The sequence below is a fragment of the Homo sapiens genome, chromosome 8 (assembly GCF_000001405.40).
Source record: "Homo sapiens chromosome 8, GRCh38.p14 Primary Assembly".
Taxonomy (NCBI): domain Eukaryota; kingdom Metazoa; phylum Chordata; class Mammalia; order Primates; family Hominidae; genus Homo; species Homo sapiens.
This window is the reverse complement of record NC_000008.11, coordinates 102840488-102854363: the sequence shown is the minus strand read 5'-3', so window position 1 is coordinate 102854363 and position 13876 is coordinate 102840488. Positions and strand designations below refer to the sequence as shown.

The 13876-nt window shown below is 40.0% G+C and overlaps 1 protein-coding gene across 13 annotated transcripts in view; it reads left to right on the top strand.

Moving 5' to 3' along the window:
• AZIN1 (antizyme inhibitor 1) overlaps positions 1-13876 on the top strand; it is a 37899-nt gene that overhangs the window by 9837 nt on the left and 14186 nt on the right. For 4 of the 13 annotated variants that reach the window (NM_001363010.1, NM_001363013.1, NM_148174.4 and 1 more), the window contains exon 3: positions 10617-10813. In NM_001363010.1, coding sequence (NP_001349939.1) covers positions 10712-10813 — 102 coding nt within the window. In that variant the 5' untranslated portion in view covers positions 10617-10711. Of the gene's footprint in view, positions 1-4198; positions 4378-10616; positions 10814-13876 lie in introns of all 13 variants that reach the window. The other 9 variants (NM_001363011.1, NM_015878.5, NM_001363014.1 and 6 more) reach the window with 4 other exon arrangements.

The following is a 13876-nucleotide window of genomic DNA, read 5'->3' as shown; positions in this document are numbered from 1 at the left end:
CTCCCAAAATGCTGGGATTATAGGCGTGAGCCACCGCGCCTGGCTGGAAAGATGTTCTTTACGAATTTGCTAGTACTCCTTCCTCATGTTTCACTGTAAGTTATCAGTAGGAAAGGGAGGTTGTCCGCTGGGTGCGGTGCCTCACACCTATAATCCCAGCACTTTGGGAGGCTGAGGCCGGCAGATCATCTGAAGTCAGGAGTTTGAGACCAGCCTGGCCAATATGGTGAAACCTTGTCTCTACTAAAAATACAAAAATAAATTAGTTGGGCATGGTGGTGCACGCATGTAATCCCAGCTACTAGGGAGGCTGAGGCCTGCTTGAACCCGGGAGGCGGAGGTTGCAGTGAGCCAAGATGGTGCCACCGCACTGTAGACTAGGAGACAGTGCAAGACTGTCTCAAGGGAAAGGGAGGTTGTTGACCCTGACTGCAGAGAAAGGGGAAAATTTCAGTTTTGATATTTGGTACTTTTTTTTCTTTTCTCCCCCCACCCCCCGATTTAATTTCTCACAGATGATATTTGGTACTTTAAGGATACTGTGATATGAGCAAATGTAACAGAACATTCATTAATGGCGGTTGATACTCTTTGACCAAAAAGATGAGTAAAACCACTATCGTTGAAATACACAGTCTGTATATCCCCTTGGCATACATAAAGTAGAGTCAATGGTGTGTCAGTGCTTGTGTAAAGTAGCAGAAAAATATTCTGTAAAAGCACAATGTGAATACTAGCATATTAATGGATAAACAAGGTTTTAGAGACATGGTATTTCTTGCTTTGAGCAAATTTAGCATTTTTTTTAGGAAGGTCAAAAAGATTGGAAAGCAACGTAGACCAGTTTTTTCTTTCTTTTTTGAGACGAAGTTTCGCTCTTGTTGCCCAGGCTAGAGTGCAGTGGCGCGATTTCAGCTCACTGCAAACTCCACCTCCCGGGTTCCATCAATTCTCCTGCCTCAGCGTCCTGAGTGGCTGGTATTATAGGCATGCACCACCATGCCCGACTAATTTTGTATTTCTAGTAGAGACAGGGTTTCACCATATTGGTCAGACTTGTCTCGAACTCCTGACCCCATGATCCGCCTTCCTTGGCCTCCCAAAGTTCTAGGATTACAGGCATGCGCCACTGCGCCCGACCATAGACCAGTTTTTAAACGGGATAAATGGCTTTTGCATTTATTACAGAGGTTAGTTTAGCTGAGAAAATTAATACTGACTACCAATCTGTGTGTTCCATCACAGTCTTCACCCAACCTGATCTTGTTTCAGAGTTTTCCAGTTTGGGTCTCCCCATACCCCACCCCAGGTAAACCAATCCCTTTTGCGATATTTAACTTCCATTAGAATAAATGAGATATTGCATCTATGAAAAAGGCTTGTAAACCTTAAAATCTAGTATATGGCAGGCTACTGTTCTAAACTGGCCATTGTTCAGATAAGCCTAAGGAGACTCTTCCAAGTTGAAGTGCTTACATACTGGTGAGGCCCCAGGGAGCACAGATATTTTGTCCTTCCTCCATTCCAGGGACATCCATGCCCAGTCAAATCAAGCAATTTGTCACAAGTTAACTAAAGCAGATATTTAGCTCTCCTTTTCGTTAATCCACTGTTTTTTACATTATGCATGAGTAGAAAATACTGTGTAGCATACTGGGTTACGGGGATTAGGATAGTCAGGTTCAACCTGCCCAGGCCATAGCCAGCCATCATGAGGTCCAGCCACGTTGTGCATGCCACCACGCCCTGCTAATTTTTGTATTAAAAAATTTTTTTTTTACTATTATTTTTTTGAGATGGAGTTTCACCTTTGTTGCCCAGGCTGGAGTGCAGTGGTTCAGTCTCACTGCAACTTCTGCCTCCTTAGTTCAAGCAATTCTCCTGCCTCAGCCTCCCAAGTAGCTGGAATTACAGGCACACACCACCATGCCCAGCTAATTTTGTATTTTTAGTAGAGACAAGGTTTCGCCATGTTGGTCAGGCTGGTCTCGAACTCCTGACCTCAGGTGATCTGCCCTCCTCAGCCTCCCAAAGTGCTGGGATTACAGGCGTGAGCCACCATGCTTGGCAGTATGAGCTTTATGTTGACTTCAGATTACTTTTTATCTGCTTCTTGCTCTTTACTGCAAGGATCCTCTGATGCCCAGTTTGCAAAGATCTCCTAAACAAGTATGGTATCTTCTTAGCTCATGTAGGTTCAGCATGAACATGTTATATTTGGCATGACCAAAGGTAGGATGGGGTTATCCTGGTATGTTCAACATGGAAATTCTGACAAAACAATCACCCCAAAAATAATACTCCTAATGAGAGGTTTGCTATCCTAAATTCATGAAGAGCTCCTTCAGATAAATAAAAGGCAAAAACAAGAAACTGAGCAAAAGACTTGAAAACTGTTTGCCACTAACAATCTAGCAGTTCCAGTCCCAGGTATAGACTGTAGTCCCTAGATCAGTGCTACTTAAACTGCCAGCCAGTGGAATAAGGACTCTAGTACTAGAATGTAAAGTACCACATTGCCCAACACTGTTTTAGGGTCACATAGAAGAATAAAACCATTAAGTAACAAAGGAATGATGATTAGAGAAGGTCTAAACAAATTCTAAGGGAGAGGTACAGGGGCCTCTGAGATATTACATCTTATTTCTTTCTTTTTTTTTGTTTTCTGAGACAGTCTTGCTCTGTCACCCAGGGCAGTGGCGTGATCTTGGCCCACTGCAACCTCCACCTCCCAGGTTCAAGCGATTCTCCTGCCTCAGCCTCCCAAGTAGCTGGGATTACAGGTGCCCACCACCACGCCCAGCTAATTTTTGTATTTTTAGTAGAGACAGGGTTTCACCATCTTGGCCAGGCTGGTCTGGAACTCCTGATCTCATGATCCACCTGCGTCAGCCTCCCAAAGTGCTGGGATTACAGGCGTGAGCCACCATGTCCGGCCAGCATCTGATTTCTTAATAACCTGCTTAACTTGGTCTTGGTTGCAATTACTGTATTGCACATGTATTCTATATGTTTTCCTTGGGTGAGTAGTGGACAGGCAGGCAATGAGCTCTGCCTTAAGGTAACCAAAATAGTGTGTCTCTTTAAAGGATTATTCCCTATGCTTAATTGTAATCAGGAAAGCTAGAAAACTTGAAATTAATATGATTGTGTACTTCATGTTGTATTGTAATAGTTATCTTTAATGTTATCACATCTTAATTGCCAAAAGGGATATAAATATTTCACTTGAGTGCAGGTACACACACACTTTAGTACACACACATTTTCTCCAGAAAAAAAATTTAGTCTTCACATTGAATAGTCAAGACATTTTTAAGGGAGTCTAATTGTGTTAATTCCACGTGCAAAAATAATATTGCTGTGAGAATTGTGTATTTTGTTTTCTCATTAAGCTACATTTTAATATTTATGGTGAGGCAGTTCATTGGGCAGTCTTTACACAGGCACTTCAAACTTAGCCTGTTGGGCTTATAACTTTTGGGATTTTTTGCCCCCTTATATATTTCCTATTCATTCTTGTTCTTCTCTTTTAAAATAAATCTTTAGCAGTCACCTTTAGTCTTCTTCCTCTAAGGTTACTCAGTTTTTTCAACCTCATCACCTGAAAAATAAGTTTAGGGGTATGCATTGTGATTACTGGCTTTCTTATTGAAGCAAGCCTTGTCCTGATTTATCCTGAGTACTCAATGTAGGCTGTTGTTATTGTCTATCACTTATTTTGGGGTCCAGGGTGGCAGAAGTTTACCTGATCTTATGATCACTAAATTTATAGGATTTCCTACCAGTTTCAGTATATAGCTTCCTGGAATTCTTTTGTAGTGTTTCAGACCTACTCAAGGTCTCACATCTATGGTAGATGTCATTCTTTAGAAGCTTCTAGTGCTCTTCTGGTCAATTACTTTTAAAGGTATTCTATGTGGTAAGTAACATTTTCTGTTGTAGGTAGAATGCAGAGGGGACTTAAGCAACGTTGTATATTTTTAAAGCTGTGAGCTGGGTGCTAAGTCATCAAATGCCTATGTAAAAATAAAAGTAGAAATGCACCTAGGCATCTTCAGAGTAACAGTAATAGTGTAAATTTCAGAATATCTTTTCTCATTTTTAATGAGTAAAAATCCTTTTAGAAAAATGGTTGATGTATTAAGGTTGGGTTTCCTGCTTAGGTATCTCTGAAACAGTATTCTCAACCTTTCAGCTCTCCCTGTTCTACTTCCAGGGAGGTCTTCACTTCAGAAATCCAAGACTCATATTCATCCAGCTTGGTGTCAAGTGGGCTGTTGCTGCCAGAATTATCTTGTGATTATTTGAGAGATGTATCAGTTTCTTCTGAAGTACAATCAACTGTAGAAGCCTTTGTAGCAGGTGTGTAACAAGGCAAGTGCCCAGCTCCTGCAGCCACTACTCTTGGAGCTACCCTGTCGATGAACATGAGGACTCAGCGGCCTCATGAAAGGCTCCAGGGAGCAGTGTGTGGTTCTTTGGAGCCTTTTGTTTCTTTTGGCAGCTCTTCATGGAAAAATGTATTAAAAAAACACCCATATGAAGGTGTGAATAAGGGATGTTACATATTTTTTCTTCTCAGTTATGAGTCTAAGAGGAAATTATTAATAAAAGTAGTATTGTGGTTATACGCTACTGTATTAGTGTAAAATAACCTGAGCTTTCTCAACCGTATGTTAATAAGGTGGTTGAAAATAGCTTAAAAGTGCTTGTGAGTAGAGAATACTTTCTAGTGTCTATTGATAATACTAGACATCAGAGCTAGATTTGCTGTTCAGTTCTAATGAAGAGAATCTAAGATTTACATGGAGTAGTTTTTTTTTCAAGTTTAATATAATTAGTTCAAGGTCCAATAGCACCAGAATGTGTTGCAGCCAGTAAATCAGTCCTGTTTCTGATCTGTAAGCCAGAAGAAGTGGTACAGTTTCTTTTGGGAATTATTTCCACTCAGAATTGCAAGGAGATACTTGATATATCACCTTGGTTTGAGTCTGCATTCTTAGTGGAGGGTATGGAGACGTCCTGGAAAGAGTCCCTGTGCGGGGGTTTTTGTTTCTTGTTTTTGTTTTGAGATGGAGTCTTGCTCTGTCACCAGGCTGGAGTGCTGTGGCACAATCTCAGCTCACTGTAACCTCCGCCTCCTGGGTTCAAGTGATTCTCCTGCCTCATCCTCCTGAGTACCTGGGACTACAGGTGTGCACCACCACACCCAGCTAATTTTTATATTTTTAGTAGAGACAAGTTTCACCATGTTGGCCAGGATGGTCTCGATCTCAACCTCGTGATCTGCCTGCCTCGGCCTCCCAGAGTGCTGGGATTACACTGTGCCCAGCCCCCTGTGGTGTTGAAGATTGAGGTAGATTAACTTAGTGAATCTGGAGTAAGGTATAAACTGCTCACCCCCGAAACATGCACACTTATTTTCATGCTTGCTCCCTAGAACATGCTGTGTCTTAAGACTTTTGGTTTGACATATTGTCGCCAATTAACTTTAATACCTCCTGAAAACGTTTTGGCAAAATATTTCTTAGTGCTTTCAGTAAGGCATAAATGTCACAACATAAACCTTTCTTTTTTTTAACAATGGAACTGTAAACTATTTTTGCTAATATATTAAGAAAACTGCAAGCAGTGATCCCAGAGGTATGATTTGAGCTGCTTTTTTAGGACTCTTTCAGTGAGATTGGGGCACAACATATGAAAGACTCAAGCAACCTACCTCACCCACCTACTTGTCCCTTTTCAGTTGGAAATACTGGGTTTCCAAGTGGCATTTCATTTGAACAAAGAGTTTGTTGCCTCAAGATATATTAGAAAATTTGACCAGGCATAGTGGCTCACACTGGTAATATCAGCACTTAAGAGAGGCAGAGACAGGAGGATAGCTTGAGCCCAAGAATTAGAGACTAGCCTGGCCAATATAGTGAGACCCCATTCTCCATAAAGAGAAAAACAAAAAAAGAAAACTTGTTGCTGCAGATGTTTGTGTTTTACAGATTCTTTTGAGGAATTGGCTTTTTTTTTTTTTTTTTTTTTTGGCCTTTTAGTCTTTAACAGTAGCTGATAGTTGAGCTTTGCATTCACAGGCATGGGTAGCTTAATGACAGAGATAGATTCTGAGAAATGTGTCGTTAGGTGACATTGTGGTTGTTTGAACATCATAGTGTACATACAGAAACCTAGATAGTACAGCCTACGACACACCCAAGCTGTATGGTGTAGCTTACTGCTCCTAGGCTACCATCCTGTATACCGAGTTACTGTACTGAATACTGTTGACAGTTGTAACACAGTGGTAAGTATCTGTGTATCTAAACATAGAAAAGGTACAGTAAAAATATGGTATTATGAGACCACCTTCATATATTTGATCTGTCCTTATTAAAAATGTTGTTATGCAACGCATGACTATACATCTGGATTGCTTGCATATCAAAGTTACGGGCTTCTTTTAAGAATGTGAAAGAGCTGGACAGAGTGGCTCATGCCGGTAATTGCAACACTTTGGGAGGCCATGGTGGGAGGATTGCTTGAGGCCAGGAGCTTGAGACCAGCCTGGGGCAACATAGTGAGACACTATGAACAAAGAGTTTTCTACAAAAAATAAAAAATTAGCTGGACATGATGGCATGTGCCTGTAGTCTCAGCTACAGGGACTGACTGAGTGGAGGTGGGACTGAAGGCTGTGGTGGGAGGATCGCCTGAGTGGTTGAGGCTTCGGTGGGCTGTGATGCCACTGCACTCCAGTCTGGGTGACAAGAGTGAGACCTTTTCTCAAAAAAAAAAAAAATGGGAAAAATTGAGCTACTTTTTCAATACACTTCCAGGGAGTTCATTACCACCACCCCTAAGTTTAAGAACTCCCCACTGTTTGTTGTGAAGTCTTTTGTCCATTTGTTTCTGAGTACCTATTCTGGGCTAGGAATTTACAGCAATCTCAAAGCCTTCAAGAGAGCATCAAAGAAAATAAACCTCCATTAGAGCTTTATTGTTTTTTTTTTTTTTTTTTTAAGAGATGGGTTCTCCCTATATTGCTCAGGCTGATCTCAAACTTCTGGCCTCACAAAATCTTGCCTCAGCTTCCCAAAGTATTGGGTTCAATCAACTACTTTATTGTAGTTCTCTGTATAATGAAAGAAAACAAATGTTAATGTACTACATCTGTGGATTCAGGTGATCCTTAATCCATTTTGTCAAGTACTGCCAATATAGCAAATGAATTTTATTTCATTTTTGCAACAGAATGATTTTGTCACTCAGCTGGGACGTGGTTAACAACTCTGCTGTTACTTCTGAAGTAACAGTTCCATTTCAAAGATGAATAGTCAACTCCACAAACATTTTATCTTTCCTTTAGAAGAGGTCATATTTTTTCACTATTTTTATTTATATTGATAATGACACTATATGTCAGCTGTTTTGGTTTAGCCTTCAGTTGATTAAAATTATTTAGCTTCTATAAAAGTCTTAATTTATAGTGACAAGAAGCTGGTCAGTGGTTGCCTGGGGTGGAGTTGGGGATTTGCTGCAAAAGGGACATCATATGAAGAAAGGCTGTGAGTAGGCGTGATAATGTTTTTATACCAGTGTGAATAAACTTAGCATTTTTCAACAAGTATGAGTGTTCATATGTCTGAAAGGGGTTAGTTGATTATGTGGATATGATAAAGTTCTTTTAAAGAGACTGAGAACTGTGTTGGATTTCCCAAAAAAAAAAGGAGTCCTGTGTTTTATAGGGATGGGGTGCTGGGGAAGCAAGGTTTTCATATTGTTTTAAATGTAGTTTGATCATTAGTATCTCTAGAGCTAACCTACTTAATTATTCTATTCCTCAGTATATCAATGGAGATAATACCGTCATTGTGGTTTTAAGGGTTAAGAGAATTAATATTGAATAGATGAAACACTTAGGCTGGGAGACTGCTATAAACATGTTTACTGTTAGATTTAAGCTAGCTTAGCAGGCAGTCAGAGTTGAACCTATGAAATTATATGGTTTGAAAATATTTGGGAAAAAATATCTTTATCCATATCATCATACTACTGTAGCAGAAGCTCTGAAGAATGTAGGTAGTCAGCCAGTAAGACTTGATCCAGTGGGCCTGATGTTTTTATAAGTACTGAGGATCCTGACTGTTAAAGGAAAATTACCCTTCCTAAGAACACTATGGTTGTAGGAAATGGAGGTTTATCTTATCCTGACTTAAAAGCTAGACCTTCTGTATTTGGCAGCAGTTGTGTGTTGTCGTTTATAATCAATAACCAAAGGTTTTCAACTAAGTACTAAATACTACATATATATTAGACTATGCCCAGAGACTTAGCAACAGCAACTGAGATACAATTAAGTCCTCATTGAACATCATCAGTAGGTTCTTGGAAACTGCGACTTTAAGCAAAAAGACATAGACAGCAAGCCCTCAAATAACATTTCATTATAATGTTAAGAAAAAAAATGGTTTCGTTTTACCTCTTACTTAAAAGACACAGTTTGCAAGAAGCTATTGACATAAAGTGAGGACACAATTTACTTATTTTTTTTTCCATTTCAAAGTATTTTATTTAGGCCAAAAGTCTTGATTTCGTATTTTTTCATTTATTAATAGTAAGATAAATGAAAACTGGCTGCTATGCCAAAAAGGTTAGTGATGTTAAACTTAACAGGAAGTTTCTACCTTATTTTCTTATATTTATCTTTTTAAATGAGTGACCTTTATTTTTTTAATTGTTCTTAGTGCTCAGTTGAATATCCCCCCAAAATTGGTGCTTTAAATTGCTTAAAATAAACATGTATTCTTAGCCTAAAATGTCTATATTTTCTGGGCACAGATTTACAGCAGTCCTGTTATAACAGTCTTTAGAGAATGTGCAGGCTGTGATTTGACGTCACTGCACAGGTATTAGGTCTATTTAGATAGGCCTCAATTAACTTGGTAAAATAAAAACATCCTAAACTTTTCAGTCTGTGCTATATGGCATGAAAGATCTGATGAGTTGAACTGAATGTAGTTGGCTTCTTGGAAATGAAGCTGTTAGTGTTTGAAAAGTTAAAACTGAGTATTTGTATTTCATGAAATTTGACTAATACAGCTTATTAAGGACTGTTTTGGTGCAGCCAAAATGCTGACACTTTTAAGAACCATCGAAATGGAGTATACTTTCAGGACAGTGGCCATCACCCAAGGGTGAACTCTAGTTTGGGGCATTAGGGAGGGTGGAGGGGGGTGGTGGGAGGAATCAAGGACACAGGAAAGGATGTGCAGGTTTTAAAACAGGCTGCCCAGACAGCTGGTCAATGGCCATTATTAATGTGGCAACCAGAAATTAGTACCAGATATTGAGTAGTATCCTGTCTGGTGGACCTGTTTTATCTCATTTATGTCGAAGTTATTTCCTAAAGTAACCTAAGGACCAGTGAAGTTCAACAAAGAAGATAAACCTTTATGTCAGTATAGTATGTGCTGCCTTAGGACAATGAGTGCTCCGGGGGAGTGGGCAGGTTTATTTCATTGATTTGAGTGGAGAGGGATAGGATTTAGCCTAAAGTCTTTTTAAAAATCAGATTACTTAGTAACTGGCTCAGGATGTACAGATACCTAATTTACAAATGTAGTTTCTAATTGTGTTATTTTTGCATTTCTGGTAATTGACAATTTTAGCTCTATTCTAGCCAGCACTGAAACAGATGTTTTTAATTTATATGCTCTATGATTTTTTTTTTTTTTTACAACAACCTGTTGAAGAAATAATTAAGGTAGTTAACTGAGGTTTAGAGAAATTGATGTAGATTCTCCTAAATGATATAGCCAGGACGAGGTCTTCTGACTCCTAGTCCAGTGATTTCACCAAAGCAACTCACCTCATAACATTGCTAACTTGATACAGCTAGTACTATTTTAGCTTGAGGTAAGGCTTAGGCAGTCTGTATCAAAGCTTCAGATTGTTCCCTCAAGCCACCCTCCACTCTCACCCATTTTTATTACTTTCACCTATTTGGGAATTTTTTTTTTTTTTTTAGGAGAGACGGAGTCTTGCTATGTTGTCCAGGCCGGTCTCAAACTCCTAGGCTCATGCAATCTACCGGCCTGGGCCTCTCAAAGTGCTGGGATTACAGGCATGGGCCACCATGCCCGGCCAGGACTTTTATTTATAAGACATTTATCTGCAATTACCTGGCAGTGCTAATACGTGGCTGACAGTATATTGGAAGTTGAGACTGGTATTTTGATTTCTTGGATGCAGATACTTATTTCACTAGCTTTCTTTACTCTTAAAATGGGTAAAATTATGTGTGTTATAGGAACGCAAAACAAGATAATAATACAGATTGGGTCTGCAACTCTGTAAGTAAGGTGACCATATAGGCTTGTAATACATTGTGTATATATGTGAGTTACCCCTTCAAATTATATTGACCTTTTTGGGTAAATGTATTTTAATTCATGTATTTGCTTTTTTAAATGGGCGTTAAAGGAAATTAATAATCTGATGTTTCTGAAATTGTAAAATTGCGTAAATTCCTCACTAAATTAGGCACTTAGCACACTTTCATTGACTCGTACATTATGTCTATTGAAATAATACAGACTTTTATATAACTTATATTTTGACAGTTTGTTGCATATTCTAAGGACCCAGACATAGGCTTGGTGGCCCGTCTCTTGTCTTTCCTGGTTTATGACTTTCGGCTTTGTGGAATACGGCTGAGATGAAAGGATTTATTGATGATGCAAACTACTCCGTTGGCCTGTTGGATGAAGGAACAAACCTTGGAAATGTTATTGATAACTATGTTTATGAACATACCCTGGTAAGTGCCATTTCTCAAATACAGTGTTTGTCATTTTCCAAGCTCTGAAACGAGTGCTTTTTAATTTCCAAGATGGTAATCTGATCAGAAGTACTTGGTTCATATGCTATCTGATTTAACTTGACCTTCCTCCCCCACACCCACTCCCCTTGAGTAGTGATCCATTTTTCTTTCCAATCCACATTATTTTAAAATCCTCCCTATGGCCCTTTACCTTCTATGCCTTTTAGCATCTGGCACCCACATATGTTCTGTTTATTCTGTTGATGTGATGCCAGCCAACCTTCTAATCAGTACATGGCTTCTTACTCATTTTTCTCAATTTTCTTTTTTTTTTTTTTTTTTGGAGACGAGTCTCACGCTGTCGCCCAGGCTGGAGTGCAGTGGCGTGATCTTGGCTCACGTGCAACCCTCGCCTCCTGGGCTCAAGCAGTTCTCTCTCAGCCTCCTGAATTAGCTAGAATTACAGGCGCACACCACCACACCCGGCTAATTTTTGTATTTTAGTAGAGACGAGGTTTCGCCATGCTGGTCTTGAACTCCTGACCTCAGGTGATCTACCCACCTCAGCCTCCTGAAGTGCTGGGATTACAGGCACGAGCCACCGCGCCCAGCCTCAATTCTTTTTTTTTGCTTGCTTGTTTGAGATGGATTCTTACACTGTTGCCCAGGCTGGAGTTCAGTGGCACGATCTCAGCTCACTGTGACCTCTGCCTCCTGCGTTCAAGCAATTGATTTAGGATCCTTATGCCTCAGCCTCCCGAGTAGCTGGGATTACAGGTCTGTGCCACCATGCCCAGCTAAGTGGTTTTTTTTTTGTTTTTTGTTTTTTGTTTTTTTTTTTGAGATGGAGTCTCCCTCTGTATCCCAGGCTGGAGGGCAATGGCAGTATCTCGGCTCACTGCAACCTCCGCCTCCCAGGTTCAAGCGATTCTCCTGCCTCAGCCTCCCAAGTAGCTGGGATTACAGGCGCCCGCCACCATGCCCAGCTAATTTTTTGTATTTTTAGTAGAGGTGGGGTTTCACCATGTTGGCCAGGCTGGTCTCGAACTCCTGACCTGAGGTGATCCGCCCACCTTGGCCTCCCAAAGGGCTGGGATTACAGGCGTGAGCCACTGCGCCTGGCCTAAGTTTTTGTATTTTTAGTAGATGGGGTTTTGCCATGTTGGCCAGGCTGGTATTGAACGCCTGACCAACATGTGATCTGCCCGCCTCAGCCTCCCAGAGTGTTGGATTAACAGGCGTGAGCCACTGTGCCTGGTCTCAGTTGTATTCTTCAGTGGATATTAATTTACTTTCAGATAATTTTGGTTGTGTATGTTCATTGAGAATTTGATAATTTATCCTGAGTACTTACTCTCTGCTGCTCTAGGAGTCAACTTCTACAGAATCATATACTCACTGCTACTTAAGGTGATTTTCTTTTTTTTTTTCTCTTTGAGACGAAGTTTCACTCTTGTTGCCCAGGCTGGAGCGCAGTGGTGCGATCTCAACTCACTACAACCTCGGCCTCCCTGGTTCAAGCGATTCTCCTGCCTTAGCCTCCCAAGTAGCTGGGATTACAGGCGCCCAGCACCAGGCCCAGCTGATTTTTGTATTTTTAGTAGAGACAGGGTTTCACCGTGTTGACCAGTCTGGTCTCAAACTCCTGACCTCAGGTGATCCACCCACCTTGGCCTCCCAAAGTGCTGGGATTACAGGCGCGAGCCACCGCGCCCAGCCTGGTCTTTTTTTTTTTTTTTTTTATATATATATATATTAGACTTAACTGATACAATCTTTCTTTATTGGAGGAAATTTCCTGTATTCAACCAAACTTGTTAGATAATTGTTTTCATGTTACCGGTGTTCAGTAATTGAATATCCAAAATTTTCTCCTTCTCTTGACCTTAAGTCTGCAGACGTGTTCATCTTCCCCTCATCCTAGCAAAAATCCCTTTGTCTTCCTCTGCCATTCAACTTGTTAAAACTTGACATATTGGTCATGAAACTTGTCATATTGGTCAACCAATTTCTGCCAAGCCATTCTTCAGTTGCCACTGGGAAGCTCCTAGTCAAATTCTGATGATCATTTTTATCACTTAACTTTATTCTTCTGACTTTTTGCAACACTTTTCGGGGGTCAGATATAATCTTTGAAATATTCCTTCCATCCCACATCTAAATTAACCCACGTTTAGTAGCATTCAATGAGGATTACTCCTCAACCCCATTCTTTTCTGGCTCTGGGGTGACACTTCTGTGTTCTCTAAGTCATTCAGTCCACCTTTTGTTTGTCCTCTCTTATTTAACCTTGGTCTTGCCTTCATAACATCCTGGTATTCATCTCCTCCATTCCCACTATCTATCCGTCTTTGCACATGTCATTATAGTGACCTCCTAACTTATTTCCCTTTTCATCGTCCTATTGTTTGCCCAAGCCTGCTTAATTTTGTTGAATATTCATTAAATACAAGGCTTCCCTGCTCCCTAAATTTGTTTTTCGTTGCCTACTGAGAATTTTCCAGACTCACATCATGCCTAAGAAAGGAAGCTGAATACCTTGTTGTTTCATCCCATTTCTCTTGTGGTTCCCGTAAATACCTTATTTTTTCCCAAATTAAATATAAACTTTGTGTCTCCGGAATACCATAGATATCATATCTTGGGAGGATGGATAACTTAATACAACTGTTAAAATTCTGCTGCACATAATGTGCGTTTTGCATTTATATCAGTTGGGCACTATATTCTAATGACATTTTCAAATACTGTGAATTAAAGAGTTGAAAACAGTAACATTGTCTTCATGGATTCTCAAACAGTATTTGGATGTTGTACGTCCTAAATAAGATTTTTTTGCCTGCTATCTAACACTGAGTAATATATGTTCTGTCCAACTGCATAAGTCATCTCTCTAGTCCTAGAATAGCCACAACTTTAAGGAAGATTATTCTTATTCAGGCTTATCTGATATTTGGTAGACTTATGTACTTTTAAAATCTAATTTTGACATCTCCATGTGCAGACTAACAACCTTGTCTTTTTAAAAATGGTTTCCTGGTTGGTCACGGTGGCTCACAC